The sequence below is a fragment of the Homo sapiens genome, chromosome 9 (assembly GCF_000001405.40).
Source record: "Homo sapiens chromosome 9, GRCh38.p14 Primary Assembly".
Taxonomy (NCBI): Eukaryota; Metazoa; Chordata; class Mammalia; order Primates; family Hominidae; genus Homo; species Homo sapiens.
The window spans coordinates 3,077,910-3,092,933 of NC_000009.12; positions in this window are offsets into that span (position 1 = coordinate 3,077,910).

The window sequence follows — 15,024 nt, forward strand, 5'->3', positions numbered from 1 at the left end:
GGGGCACAAGTGGTTTTTGGTTACATGGATGAATTGTATAGTGGTGAAATCTGAGATTTTAGTGCACCCGTCACCCAAGTAGTGCACATTGTACCCAGTATGTAGTTTCTATCCCTAACCCCTTCCACCTTCCCCGTTTTGAGTATCCAAGATCCATAATATCTCTCTGTATCATGGCCTCTTTAAAAAAAAAAAAAAGGATGAGTAGGTACAGGGAGAGGCGAAGGATTTGGTTGTTGTGGGGAAAGGGAAATTAGGCAATTTGCTTATTAGCTTATTTGCTTCTTATTCATTTATTAATTCAAGAGGATGAATATATAAATGCTTCATAAAATTCAAAAGGTAGAAAAGAATATGCAGTGAAAGTAAGTCTCCCTCATGCTTTTGACCCCCAGTCTCCAATTCCTCTCTCCAAAGGTGACCACTGTTACCAGTTGTGTACCCTTCTAGAGATACTTTATACACATACCAATCCATGTTTGGCTATATTGACATTGGGTTTAACATTCGCTCTATCCAATGTCTTGCTGTATATCATCTTAAAAAGCATATCCTGGGCCGGGCGCGGTGGCTCACGCCTGTAATCCCAGCACTTTGGGAGGCCGAGGCGGGTGGATCATGAGGTCAGGAGATCGAGACCATCCTGGCTAACAAGGTGAAACCCCGTCTCTACTAAAACTACAAAAAATTAGCCGGGCGCGGTGGCGGGCGCCTGTAGTCCCAGCTACTCGGGAGGCTGAGGCAGGAGAATGGCGTGAACCCGGGAAGCGGAGCTTGCAGGGAGCCGAGATTGCGCCACTGCAGTCCGCAGTCCGGCCTGGGCGACAGAGCGAGACTCCGTCTCAAAAAAAAAAAAAAAAAAAAAAAAAAAGCATATCCTGGGTTCTGCACCTTGAATTTTTTAAATGTAACAATATATCTTGGCAATTATTCCATGTCAGTACATATAGCAGTGTTTCATCCTTTCCAATGGCTGTATGGTATTCCCTCATATGACTGTATCAGGTTTTTTTCATACCACTTGCTATTACAAAAAAACTGCAATGAACTCATGTTACATACATTGCTGCACACGTGCGTAAGTGCACATGCCTTTTCTCTCCTCTCTGGCTTATTTTACTTTCCTTTAATCTCTGGTTTCTGTGATTATGCTATATTATATCTTGGAGTTTATATCTTTTTGGTTTGTTCTGCTTAGAATTCATTGGGTCTATTGAGTCAAAGATTCACCTTTCAGAAGTTACTGAAAATTATTAGCTCTTTATCTCTTCATATATAGCCCTTGGCTCATTTTTTCTTCTTTTCTCCTTCTGGAACTCCAATTCACTGTAGGTTATACCTTCTCAAACTATCGTGCATGTCTCTTATCAACTCTTTTATGATGGTGCATGGGGCTTTGCTCTGTAGTGTCATTCTCCAGGCTCAGGTAGAGGACTTAAAGTCTAGCACCACTCTAACCCGTAAAACAGTATGGAAACAGATTAGACAAAGCTGAATTAATGAACTGTAAACACAACTTAGGCAATCTTCTTGAATGCATGAGAGAAAGAAAGAGACAGAAACCATAAAAGCAGTTAGAAGACTGATGCCAGAGCAAGAAGATCTAATACACATCTAATGTAAGCTATATGAGGAGAGAATAGAGATAATAGGGGAAGAGTCATACTTGCAAATATAATGGATAAGAACTTTCCAAACCTAATGGGAAATAGGACTCATCATAAACTAGGAGCATAAGTTGCCAGCAGGATAAGGAAAATAAATTCAATCTTTAGATACATTGCGGTGAAACTTTGGCATATCCAATCAAAGGTAAAATCAGAAAGCAGTCAGAGAATAAAACACAAATCCATTATAAAAGAATGAAAATTATATTGGCATTGCCAAAAGAAAGGAAGCTGTACCTATATAAACAATTTTCAGAATCAGAAATTTTTAAAAAATACTTTTGGCTTGGAAAGTTAACTATATGGTCACAAAATATGGAATCTACTAATTCCTAATGAAAACAAAAGGCTCAAGGCCAAAGTTTAAGTTTCTTTGTTATTGTTTTGTTTTGTTTTTGTGTTTTGAGATGGAGTCTCACTCTGTCGTGCAGGCTAGAGTACAGTGGCATGATCTCGGCTCACTGTGACAGCCACCTTCCAGGTTCAAGCAATTCTCCTGTCTCAGCCTCCCGAGTAGCTGGGATTACAGGTGCACACCACCATGCCCGGCTAATTTTTGTAATTTTTAGTAAAGATGGGGTTTCACCATGTTGGCCAGGCTGGTCTTGAACTCCTGACATCAGGGTGATCTGCCCACCTCGGCCTCCCAAGGTGCTGGGATTACAGGTATGAGCCACCACGCCCGGCCCCAAGTTTAAGTTTTATGCCAAGCTCTTTCCATGAAATCATTGACTTTAAAGCTGTATAAGACACCAGAGGTCATCTCCTTCAACTTTCTCATTTAAAATTTGGACCTGAAGCTCAGGGAGTAAAGTGATTTTATGACTGTGTCGTTAGTTCACAGCAGATCTGGAGCTAGAACTTTAACGTCTTCCACTCCTTGCAAGTGGAAATCTGCAAAGTTAAAATTTTCTTTAGTTGCTTTCATTTGCCTTAAAACACTTATTCAAAAAAACCTAAAATCATCCACCAGTTTATATACACACAGATTTCCCTCACAAACCCTCTTTCGCACACCAATAGTGATTACCATAGATTAGAGAAGAGACCAAAGAATGGTCAGGCCTTTTGAAACTCTTGGCCAATCAGAAGCAGCTCATGTGTACTTTAGGGAGCTTACTGCAGAGATACTCCACAGTGACTGGCATTTTTTACGTAATCTAAGAGATTGTACACATTGTCCTTGGATTTGCTATAATTGCATTTTCATTGCTCAGCACTAGCAAGGTTCTGTTGGCTATGTTGTAGCTTTCCCATTTCTACCTGGAGAAATCTGAGAACACACAATCACCTTCCTTATTACTTTCAGGTGGTAATTTGTTTGACGGTCAAGATTCTAGATGTTAGCATAGATAATTAAAACAGAAATATATTTGGAAAAATTAGATCCAAGGTATCTCTTCAACAACTAAATGAAGAAGCTCTTATTGTTAATTAAATCTACAATCATAGAGCTGAAAAGAACTCGAATTCCTTGTTGAAATTCCTTTACTTTTGCTCAAAGTGTTCTCCATGACCATTAGCGTCACATTACATGGAAGCTTGCTGGAAAGGTAGATCTCAGACCCCACCCCGGATACTGAGTCAGAACATGTATATCAAGATCCCAGGGTGATGTGTATGAATAAGAAAGTTTGAAAAAAAACTGTTCCAACCATCCAAAAGTGAGGGTTGTTTATCCTGTTTTTTATACCATACCACATATATTATTTTCTTATTGTTTTATGCTAATTCATTCCTTTGTAACATATATGTATATATTCTCAGCACCTTTGCTTTTTGAAAAATAGAATCCCTAAGAAGTGAACATACACTTGGAAATACTATTAAAGCTATTAGACATTTGAGTAAATCTCTGTCCCATTCAAAAGTAATTTCTAACACCATTAAATTAGGCTTAATTCAATGACTGCTTCAATTACCCTTGAGGAATAGATAATTTAATGTTTTTGCTTTTTTGTGTGCATAAAGGCAAAACAAGAAACAATCTAATCAGTTATTGAGTGAGTTTAGCTGTATGTTCCACTTGCTATCATAATAATCAATGACTTTGGAGGCATTTCCAGGTTTCCTTAATAGCACTAAGGTTTTTTTAATCTGTGCAAAAGCAGCTAATGTTTCATTTTTCAAAGTGGTTACTAAGTAGACAGATAACCCATTTAGAATTTTAAAATGTAGAACATTTTCATTGTTCTTTCACAATTAGGGAGCAACTAGGCAATGTTTTTCTAGTGCTCTTCTAATGCAGGAAAACTTTCCTTGCAAGTTTTCAAGAAATCCTAGGTTTAAAGAAAGAGTGACAAGATGACTATCTCAGAGGGTCCCCACTGTCAGTGAAATGATAATTTAGCTCCACGTTGTCACTTTAGAAAGGAATCAAAAGTCCCTTTATAAAAGGCATTAAGGGATGTGATCTGATACAGCACTTGCATTTTTACTGCAGCCACAAAAAGATGATTAAATATTTAGATCAGTATGTTTTTATAAAACACAATGAAATTTTTCAAATAATTTGAATTACTTTTCAACTTTAGAGAACACAAATAAGTGGGGATGGCATTATTTGTTCAATTATTGTGTTGAGACAATTGGATAAACATTTGAGAAATAAAAATAATTACATATTTACCTGTTACTTTTCCCCCAAAATAAGTATCAGTAGATTAAAGATTCATTTGAAGAAAAAAATGAAACCATAAAAACATAACATGTAGGTAAATGGCTATATCGACTTGGGCTGTATAATAACTATATATTTTCCAGGCATGATACTACAGGCAATAGCCATGAAAAACGAACCGAATACCTTTGGCAACATGTTCCTAAAAAGCACACAAACTTAAGACAAATTGCAAGCTGGAAAATAGGCTGTAATACATGACAAAAGGATAATATCTTTAAAGGCTCATGAAGAGTTACATAACAGCTTTTGTCTACCAAATTTGTAAAGATATTTTTCAGTATTTTAGTGAGAGTAGGTGAAGATGCAGAGAAATAGCATTCTCATACAATAAGAGGGTAAATGATATAATATTTTATAAGGGTAATTTGGTAATATATATAAAAAGTTTTTAAATAATCATGCCCTTTGACCTAGTAATTTCAGTTTGGTGAGTTTATCCTCAGAATACAATATAGATTGTGTGGAAAGATTTAATTGCAATTCTATTCATCACAGTGCTGCTTGCACTTTTGAAAAATTAGAAAATTTTAAATGTCAAGCAATAGGGGATTAATTAAATAGATTTTAGTTCTTCTACATAAAGGAATACCATGAAATTGCCAAAAATGTTAACACAGATAGTTGTTCCTCATGTATTTCGAAACAATAAAATGTTTTACACAACTCTATAAGGAAAAAATATATACATTTCAAAAAAGTGTCTGGAAGCATGCCAATGAAGCTTTAAAAGTGTGGTTTTTTTTTCTTGGTAGGTAAAATTATGATTTATCTTCTCGCTTGTCTCCATATGAAAATTTTTCCAGTAATTAACATGCATTGTTCTTTAGTAAGAAAAGACAAAAAAAGTTATTTCTACAAAAAAGAAAGAGCAATATAGCATATATCTCATATGCCTTGAAGTGGTAATAATAACTTAGTACTATTTTAAATGGAAAGCCACAGAAAGTGAATCTCATGTATGCATAAGGCCTTAAGATTTTGCCCTCTAGGGAATTATTAGAAAGTATTTGACACTGAATTTGGTAAGTGCATCCTCAAAAATGAGAAAATCAAGGCTGAGTGTTCTTGATTTCCCACATTTCCCTAAAAATTCACAGATTCCCCAAAAACATGAGTGTAAGTTCATAAATAGTATGGTCTATATACATATCTTCCAAACTCACTTTTAGTTAAAACTGCCATGCTGTATTTTGAGCTGTGAGCTTTCCTGAACTGACCACCTGCTTTTTTCTTCTTTTTACTTTTCTTATTTTTTTGTGGGGGGACAACTGATGATGAATTTATTAAATCATTGAAATTCCTATCTTACTCTTTATAGGAAAACTGCCCTTAGTACGTATTTTACATTCATTTACTTTAGTGGCACATTATATTTACTGGACCTGATAGCCTCTTTAACTATTAGTATCTTTCTTTTTTTAATTGATAAGTAAACATTGTCTATATGGTGTAAAACATAATTTTTTGATATATATGTACGTTGTGGAATGGCTAAATCAAGCTATTTTATATATGCATTACCTTACATAATTATTTGTGTGTATGTGTGAGTGTGGTGAGAACACTGAAAATTTACTCGCTTAGTAATTTTCAAGTATAGAATACATTAAAACTATGGTCACCATGATGTGTAATAGATCTCGTGAACTTCCTCCTAACAAATTTTGTGTCCTTTGACCAACATCTCCCAATTCTCCCAGCCCCTATCCTCACAAAATTGCCATTTTATCCTGTTTCTATGAAGTTTTTTTCCTTAACTGTCTTCACCTGTTAAATTTTTCTAATAAATTCAGAACTTGAGACTTGTGCACAGATGAGAGACCCTGAGTGTCCACCTACCTACATACTAAAGCCACTTTCTGAAATCACAGAGGCCAAAATTTTCTTTATCCTATTTTCTCTTCTCTGACATATTTCTAACCTAGTTTCTATCACTGTGACATCTTGTGAGGACCAGGCTTTTCAGACTGTAGATCCTCAGCTTTTGAAATAGTCAGTCCTAAAATACATGTATGTATGCATACACATTTAGGGTCATAAAAATATGCCACACATACATATAATATAGGTTTAAAGTAGTATTTGGCAATAAACAGAAAATTACTTAATAGTAACTTTGGATGTGTTTACCAGCTAATCATCAAATCATACAAATTTTTAAACTTAGATCCCCTTCATTTATTAGACACTATTCTTTGTATAAGTAGATTAAGATAAGCCCTAATTTTACCATATTTGCAGTTTTGTGGAAAATATTTCTCATTTCTGCAAGCCCTTAAGTTACTCTGGAGGGGTAACAAATTAAGAAATAATTATTCTCCATAATGGACCTATTAACAGAGCCCCACCTTACTCGTTTTTCTCTAAGGTATATTCTGGTATTTTAATTTCCTTTCTCAAGCTGATCTTTAGTCCTTATATAATGTTACACAAATATTAGCAGGAATGAATGCTTGTAGGCATTAGTTCAATTCTGCAAGCATTGATGGAGCCCCGTAATGTGCCATTCTCTGCTAACTAAGAGGATAACACAGAGCAGGAAGAAGTTGTGCTTCAAGGTGTTCATAACCTCAACTTGCAAGTCAAGTGTTGCGATATGAATAGCGTTATGGTGAGAGTGTGCACAGAAAAAGAGCCCCTGCCCAGATCTGGAGAAGAGGGCAGGGGTTCCAGGAGACTTGCAGGAGAAAACTCTAAATTAAGGCTTAAAAAATTACTACACAAAGAAGTGAGAATGTCCTGATCCAGTTTGACCTTGCGATCCGCCCGCCTCGGCCTCCCAGAGTGCTGGGATTACAGGCGTGAGCCACCATGCCTGGCCCCCGGCTCACTTTCAACAGGAATTAACTCAACTAGCAGAAGTCCAATTCCAAGAAATAGGGCCACCTTTGTTTAACCCAGGAGATTTGCTATTGGTGAAAACTCTCCCTTCTCTCTCTCTCTCCTTCCCTAAGCCCAAGCTGGGAAGGGCCTTACACCATTCTCCTTTCCACACCTTCAGTGGTAAAAGTTTCAGGAGTTGACTCTTGGATACATCACACTCAAGTCAAAGATTGGAAAGCTGAGAGAGCAACCCCTGACAGCTCAGAGGAATACCCCAGATATCAATGCAAAGAAATAGGAGATCTTACACTGAAAATCATAAAAGACAAATAAATGAGTAAGGGCTACTCATCCTACTCAGTCCCACCTTACCTTACCAGACACTTTCAGTCATTTCTACTTTTCCTCTTGAGATTCGCTGTCAAATATTGGAGTTTCTTTTTGACACATATTTGTGGGGAGATTATCCATGGGATTTCATTTGTAACTTTATAGACTCCCAAAGGGAAATTCTGTATCTTGGATTTTGCTTAATTATTATCCTTATAGCAGGGATAATAGTTACTGAAGAGAAGTGAACATGCAGGTTTTACTATCACTGAGTCTGCTAGGATTTTTTATTGGATTTAGTGATCTGTTACACCTTTTAGCTCCTATGATGATATCAGCCATGGCCCTTTTGTACAAGAAGAGTAATTGCTGGGTCTGTTCTGAGCAGTTTGCTCAGTTCAATAACAATAAGGAACCTCTCAATGACCCAGAACTTACTGTCCTAGGATTCCCTTTTTTAGCTTTACTTTTAGCCCTTGAAGACTTATCAGGCATAACTGGGACATGGTATAGGAGCACATTCAACTGGGTAACTAACTCCTCTCAGGAAAATGCTCCCCACAAACGTCTGTGCCAGGAAACACTCTCCCCAAAGATAAGCTTCATACCCTTAGACTGGGAAAAGTTGACCGAATCACAGCAAATGCCTCCCTCTGCTTTAAAAGCAGCGGGGAAGGACCATACCTGGGATATCTCATATATTGTAACATCACACTTGTAATTGCTGGTAACTCAGAGATCAGGGGAGGAAAATGCAATAGGGGTGATCTAAAAGGATTGGAAGCCCTATGCGGGGGATGTGGGAGGGGAAAGGGCTTTCAGAATCTAGCACCTCCTCCTGGTTGGAAGTCCTGATGGGGATGTCATGCTCTAAGTAACCACCTTGACACATGGTACTATAATGTAAAGAATAACATATGGGCCTCTTCTGACGTGCCCCCTCATGAAATTCCAGACCCCTGTATGATGTTTGCAAATAGTAGTGGCCTACAAATCTGTGGGTGAACAGGAGACGTCTGGACCAACACCTCTTGCTGCAAGGATTATCTGAGATATTGGCCACGGCATATTATGTTCCTAATTTTTCAAAACTCCCTTTGTCAGGTGTACCCTTCTCATTTAGCATGTAACATTCCAAGCAGCATTCTGAATGACTATCCTGAGTATGGATATCCCTATCCCAAAGATGCTCCTATTTTCTGTAAGAGGCGAAGCTTCTAAGATATGAGAAAGATCTGCCTGTGTCCCTCACAAGCCAAAACTTAGAACCATCCCTTCAAGGGACAGGGCTGTATTTCCTTTGTGGCTCCTGGCTACACTTAATCCGCCCTAGGCACTGGAAGGGAACCTGCACTATAGTAGCAGTGGTTCTCAATGTATTATTTTTAAATTCCACTGACATGGCAGCATCATCTGGGGACACACCTAACCTAGGCTCTTTTTTTATTTTTTATATTTTTAATTTTTAGACGGAGTTTTGCACTGTCGCCCAGGCTGGAGTGCAGTGGCACAATCTCGTCTCACTGCAACCTCTGCCTTCTGGGTTCAAGCAATTCTCCTGCCTCAGCCTCCCGAGTAACTGCAACTACAGGCACCCACCACCATGCCTGGCTAATTTTTGTATTTTTAGTAGAGACAGGGTTTCACCGTGTTGGCCAGACTGGTCTCAAACTCCTGACCTTGTGATCTGCCTGCCTTGGCCTCCCAAAGGGCTGGGATTACAGGTGTGAGCCACTGCACCCGGCCTAACCTAGGCTCTTTTATAAAGAGTGCACTATCTCAGATATGCTGAACAAAGAGATCTATCATTTTCATGGCCTCTTATGGAGATGTAACTGAAAGAGAAGACTGGGGTGGGGGCATGCACATGACAATCCCATCTTAGAAAAACCATGGATGGGGAACTCTATAGCCAGAGGCCTATTCTGGTTTGCTGGTATTCCTCTCCTTGAAAGATCAGTACTTAATAGTTCCATTATGATGTAATGAGGATGGAAGGCAATAGTAGGGGCCAAAGAAGTACAACAATCCATAAACTCTTTAGCCTATGTAGTAGCACAAAATAGATGGGCCTTGGAGATGTCCTTACGGCTGAGATGGGGGGTACCTGTGCAATTTTAAATGAAACATGCTGCTTCTGGATGAACACCTCTAGTCAAGTAGAAGAAAACCTACGGGTGCTTAAAAATCAAATTAGAATCATTGACACGTTAAGAGAAAAATGCTGGCTCCAGCCCTACGTGGCTACCATCTCTCTTTAATTAACTCCAGTCTTCCTTGCGAAATTGGTTAGCTACTTTATTAAGCCCCCTCTTGCTCATATGTCTTATATTAATATTTGGACCTTGTATACTCAATACTATAACTCGAATTGTTTCCTCTTGCCTAGAAGAAATCAAACTCCAAATGGTGCTGCAGACTGAACCATACATGGACACGCCTTTCTTTCAAGGACCCTTACTTAGATCAACCTCAGGAGGAGCCCTAGCTACCGTTTCCCACACTAAGCCTCTTTTCAGCAGGAAGTAGCCAGGAAGAGTCATTATCCAACACCCACTAACAGCAGTTAGGGTTACCACTCCTGAGAGGGGAAATAATGCAGGAGCTAAAAAGAAATTATTTAGGCAGTTAGTAAGGGTAAAGGAGTCCTCGGCAAGGCTTCCCTTTAACAAAAAGCTGCCCCCAGATCATTTCTTTTCAACAAAAAGCAGCCTGTAAAATCGAGCCGCAGATGTAGACAAGCAGGTTCGAAGCTTGCATGGGTGAATGCCGCCAGCTGTACCAACAGGAAAAGGCTAGCTGGGGGCCAGGCAGGTTCAACATGGAGGCTCCATCTTCCCTTTTCCTTGTCAACTACTTGTGCAATAAAGGAACAGGCATCGTGGTGCCAGCCAGGTAGAGAACCCATCTGCATAATAAAAGATTAGGGTGGGGCGGCCAGCTCCTTCACACACTATGCAAATGGCATACCTGGTCTAACCAATCTCTCGTGCCCTATGTAAATCAGACACCGCCTCCTCAAGCTCATCTATAAAAACTCCTGCACTTCACCACAGGCTGGAAGACCGGCTCGGGAGCCCCTCTCCCTCTGCAGGAGAGAGAGCTTTTCGCTTTTTCTGTTTCCTCTCACCTACCAAACCCCTGCTCTTAAACTCACTTCTTGTGTGTCTCATCCTTGATTTCCTTGGCGTGAGATAATGAACCTTGGGTATTTACTCCAGACAATGACACCACTTCACTGCTATGGACCTTCTTGTATAAGTTTTTGCTTGAACATATGTTTTCGATTCTCTTGAATATATCTAGGAGTACAATTGCTAAGTCATACGATATCTCTCTGTTAAATTTTTAAGAAACTGCCAAACTATTTTCTACTAGGTTCACACCATTTTACATTACCCCCAGCAATGTATGAGGCTTTCAATTTTTCCACATCCTCCCGAACACTAATCATTGTCCATTTGTGTTTATTATTATTATTATAGCTATTCTAATGGGAGTGAAGTGTATCTTATTCTGGTTCTGACTTGCATTTCTCTAATGATTAATGGCAGTGAGCATCTTTTGATGTGCTTATTGGTCATGTTATATTTTCTTTGGAGAAATGGCCATTCAAAGCAAATGTTTTTAATTTTCAGCAAGTCCAGTTTATCTGTCTTTTCTTTAGTGGCTTGTGCTTTAGGTATTATATCTAAGAAACCACCATGAAATCCAAACTCACAAAGATTTAGTCCTATGTTTTCTTTCAAAAGTTTTAAAGTTTTAACTCTTACACTTAGGCCTTTCATCTACTTTTAGTTAATTTTTTGCTATAATGAACAGATCCAAGTTACTTTCTTCAGATATCTAGTTGTCCCAGAACTATTTGCTGAAAAGGCTTTCTTTTCCCCCATTAAATTGACTCGTCACCTTTCCCAAAAATCAATAGACATATTCATTTATTTTTGGACTCCCAATTCCAGTCTATTGTCTATCTTTATGCCAGTATTATACTGTCTTGATTACAGTAGTTTTGTAGTAAGTTTTAGAACTTGGAACTGTGAGTCCTCCAACTTTTTGTTTGTTTGTTTGTTTGTTTGTTTGAGGCTTTTTTTGTGTGTGTATTTCAGGCCCCTTACATTTCCATATGTACTTTAGGATCAACTTATCCCTTTCTGCAAGAGTCAGTTGGATTTTTTATAGGGATTATACTGAATCTGTAGATAAATTTCAAGAGTATCCTCATTTTAAAGATATTAAGTCTCCCAATCCATGAACATGAGGTGTCTTCGATTTATTTATATCTTATTTAATTTCTTTCAAAAGTGTTTTGTAGTTTTTAGTGTACAAGTCTCACATTTTTTGTTAAATTTATTTCTAAATATTTTTTCTTTTATTCAAATAATTTGGAATTTTTTGAATATCACTGTTAGATTTGTCATAGCTATTGTAGAGAAATGCAACTGATTCTTACATCCTACTTATGTCCTTGATCTTACATCCTACAAACTTGCTGAACTACTTTATTAGATCTTAGAAGTTTTTTATGGGTACCAGTGGATTTTTTCTGTATACAAGTAGAGATAATTTTACTTTTTCCTTTTCACTCTGGATGCCTTTTATTTCCTTTTTTTGTCTAAATGCCTTGACTAGAACCCCAGCACAATGTTGAATAGAACTGGTGAAAACAGACATCTTTGTGTTGCTCTCAGTCTTTGGAGGAAAGTTTTAAGTGTTTCCCCAGCAGGTGTGCTCTTAGCTATACTTGAAGGATTTTAAGAAGTAGATTGAAGGGTTGCAAGACTGGAAGCATGGAGACGCAACGTACCTGGAAAGTTTACTTCCTTTGCTTTATAAACTAAGGCCAATTACATTTTTACGATATTTAGTGTCTGCAGTGTTTCTTAGTGTATTGTTTCTCTCCACGCTCTATCCTCCCTACAAGGAAGGGGCGGCTCCTATCCTCCTGTTTCTAACAAGATCACTTCTCTCCCAGACTACCACACCACCTTTCCAGAAAGGCTGAAACACTATCTCATAGTCTCAGTCACTCAGAGAACAGCAGTTTCCCCCAAGAGAACTTTTCTTATCTCTTTGCTGCTACACCACTAGGAACTGTAGAAGAGAGCAGTGGCCCACTGGCCCCATATCTTCCAGCTGATTGCCCACTTTGCTCGTGTTCAGGATTTGTCCCATTATGCCTCACACTGCCATTACCTTATGTAGCACTAGGATTTCAAGCATTGTAGGTCTTTCAGTGATTTGACCTGGTGTTCCATAATTCAATGGTCATCGACACCCCTGAAGTAGACTCTTCTTTTCCTCAATTACCTCCACTTTTTTTCTGAAGTTCCCCTCATCTTCTTTTTCCTTCTTTTTTTTTTTTTTTTTTTTGAGATGGTGTTTTGCTCTTGTTGCCCAGGCAGGTGTGCAGTAGCACAATCTTGTCTCACTGCTGATTGCTTGAGCCTCCTAGGTGCAAGCAATTCTCCTGCCTCAGCCTCCTGAGTAGCTGGGATTACAGGCATGTGTCACCACACCCGGCTAATTTTGTATTTTTAGCAGAGACAGGGTTTCACCATGTTGGTTTGGTCAGGCTGGTCTTGAACTCCTGACCTCAGGTGATCCACCTGCCTTGGCCTGCCAAAGTGCTGGGATTACAGCCATGAGCCACCGAGCCCGGCTGTCTCATCTTCTTTTGTAACAGAAATCTAGCTGACCTCTAATTAGCCCACATCTGCACGTCTCTCAATTCAAAAAATTGACACACCCAATATATTACTTCTCTATTTCTACGTTAGCAACTTAAATCAACATAGATTGATTGATTAATTCAGTGTTATGTAGGTGAGAAGTCCTTTTGTTAATGACTGGCTCCTTTTTTGCATTTAGACTTCAATTTAAACATCACCCCCTAATAAAGGCCCTCCCTGGCCAATTTGTCTTAAATCATCTCTCAGTGACTCCTTATCACATAATCCTATTTTAAGTCTCCACATAGCTTTATCACTATCTGACATTTTTATGTGTTCATATATTGGAAGCTCTCCATTAACATACTTATTTGGGGCCTCTTTTTCCTTTATGTGCTAATTTTACTAACTTTCTTATTATGCCTATGATTGTTTTCAGTTGATTCTCTTAGCTTTTCTAAGTAAACAATCTAACATTGTAAGGCAATAACTTTGTGTTTTCCTTTCTACTTGTTTTTTTTTAAATTATTTTATTGCCTAAAATTTTAATGACTACAACAAAGTCAGGCTGACTTTTTTAATAGATGAATTTGGTCATTTACCAATCAGAAATTAATTAAGTCTAAATTCCTAAAGAATCTTTCCTGTTATTGCAGAATTGCTCTAATAAAGTAATAGTTGAGTAAATGGTCAGACTTAGAAGAAAAATGCTTCTTTGCATGTGAAGATTCAAATTTTAAAAACAACTATCAGTCCATTAATGAAAAATTCAGCTCCCCCCTAATACAACAATGTCAGTAGAAAGAATCTATCCCAAGAAAATGATTGAGCCTAAGCATATGGTTATATTATTTTCAAATGTATATTATTTGCACAAATTTCAAACAGTCTTTTTGACCTTGACTAACTCAAGATCCATTTCTCCTTTGCTGAGGAGTATCACAGAGCTCCTCCTCTCCCTGGAAGTCACAGAGCCTTGTCTGCTGATCACAGTGTGATGTTTGGAAAGGTCCTTAGGTTGTACCCATGCAGGAAATAAAAAATAGTGTAAAGACAAGCCACAGGAGAAAATATTTGCAAAAGACATATGTGATAAAGGACTGTTACCCACAACTTACAAAGAACTCTTAAAACTCAGCCATAAGAAAACAACCTGATTTTTAAAATGGGCAAAAAACTTTAACAGACACCTCACTAGAGAAGATAAACAGATGAAAGTAAGCATATGAAAAGATGCTCCATATCATATGTCATTAGAGAAATGCAAATTAAAATAAGAATGAGATACAACTACATATCTATTAGAATGGCCAAATTCCAGAACACTGACAACACCAAATGCTGATGAGGATGGGAAGCAACAGGAACTATCACTCATTGCTGGTGGGAATGCAAAATGGTACAGCCACTTTGGAAGGCATTTGGCAGTTTCTTAAAAAACAAAACATATTCTTATCATTTGATCCAGCAATCATACTCCTTTATATTTATCCAAACGAGATGGAAACTTATATCTGCACAAAAACCTTTCCATGACTGTTTACAGCAGCTTTATTCATAATGGCCAAAACTTGGAAGTAACGGAGATGTCCTTTAATAGGTGAATGGATAAATTAACTGTGGCATATCAGACATGAATATTATTCAGTGCCAGAAAGAAATCAGCTATCAAGCCATGAATTGACACAGAGTAAACTTAAATGAATACTACTAACTGGAATAAGCCAGTCTGAAAAAGCTGCATGCCATATGATGCCAATTACATGAAAAAGCAAAACTATGGAGGCAGTAAAAAGGGATAAATAGGCAAAGCACAGAGGATTTCTAAGGCAATAGAAATACTTTGTAT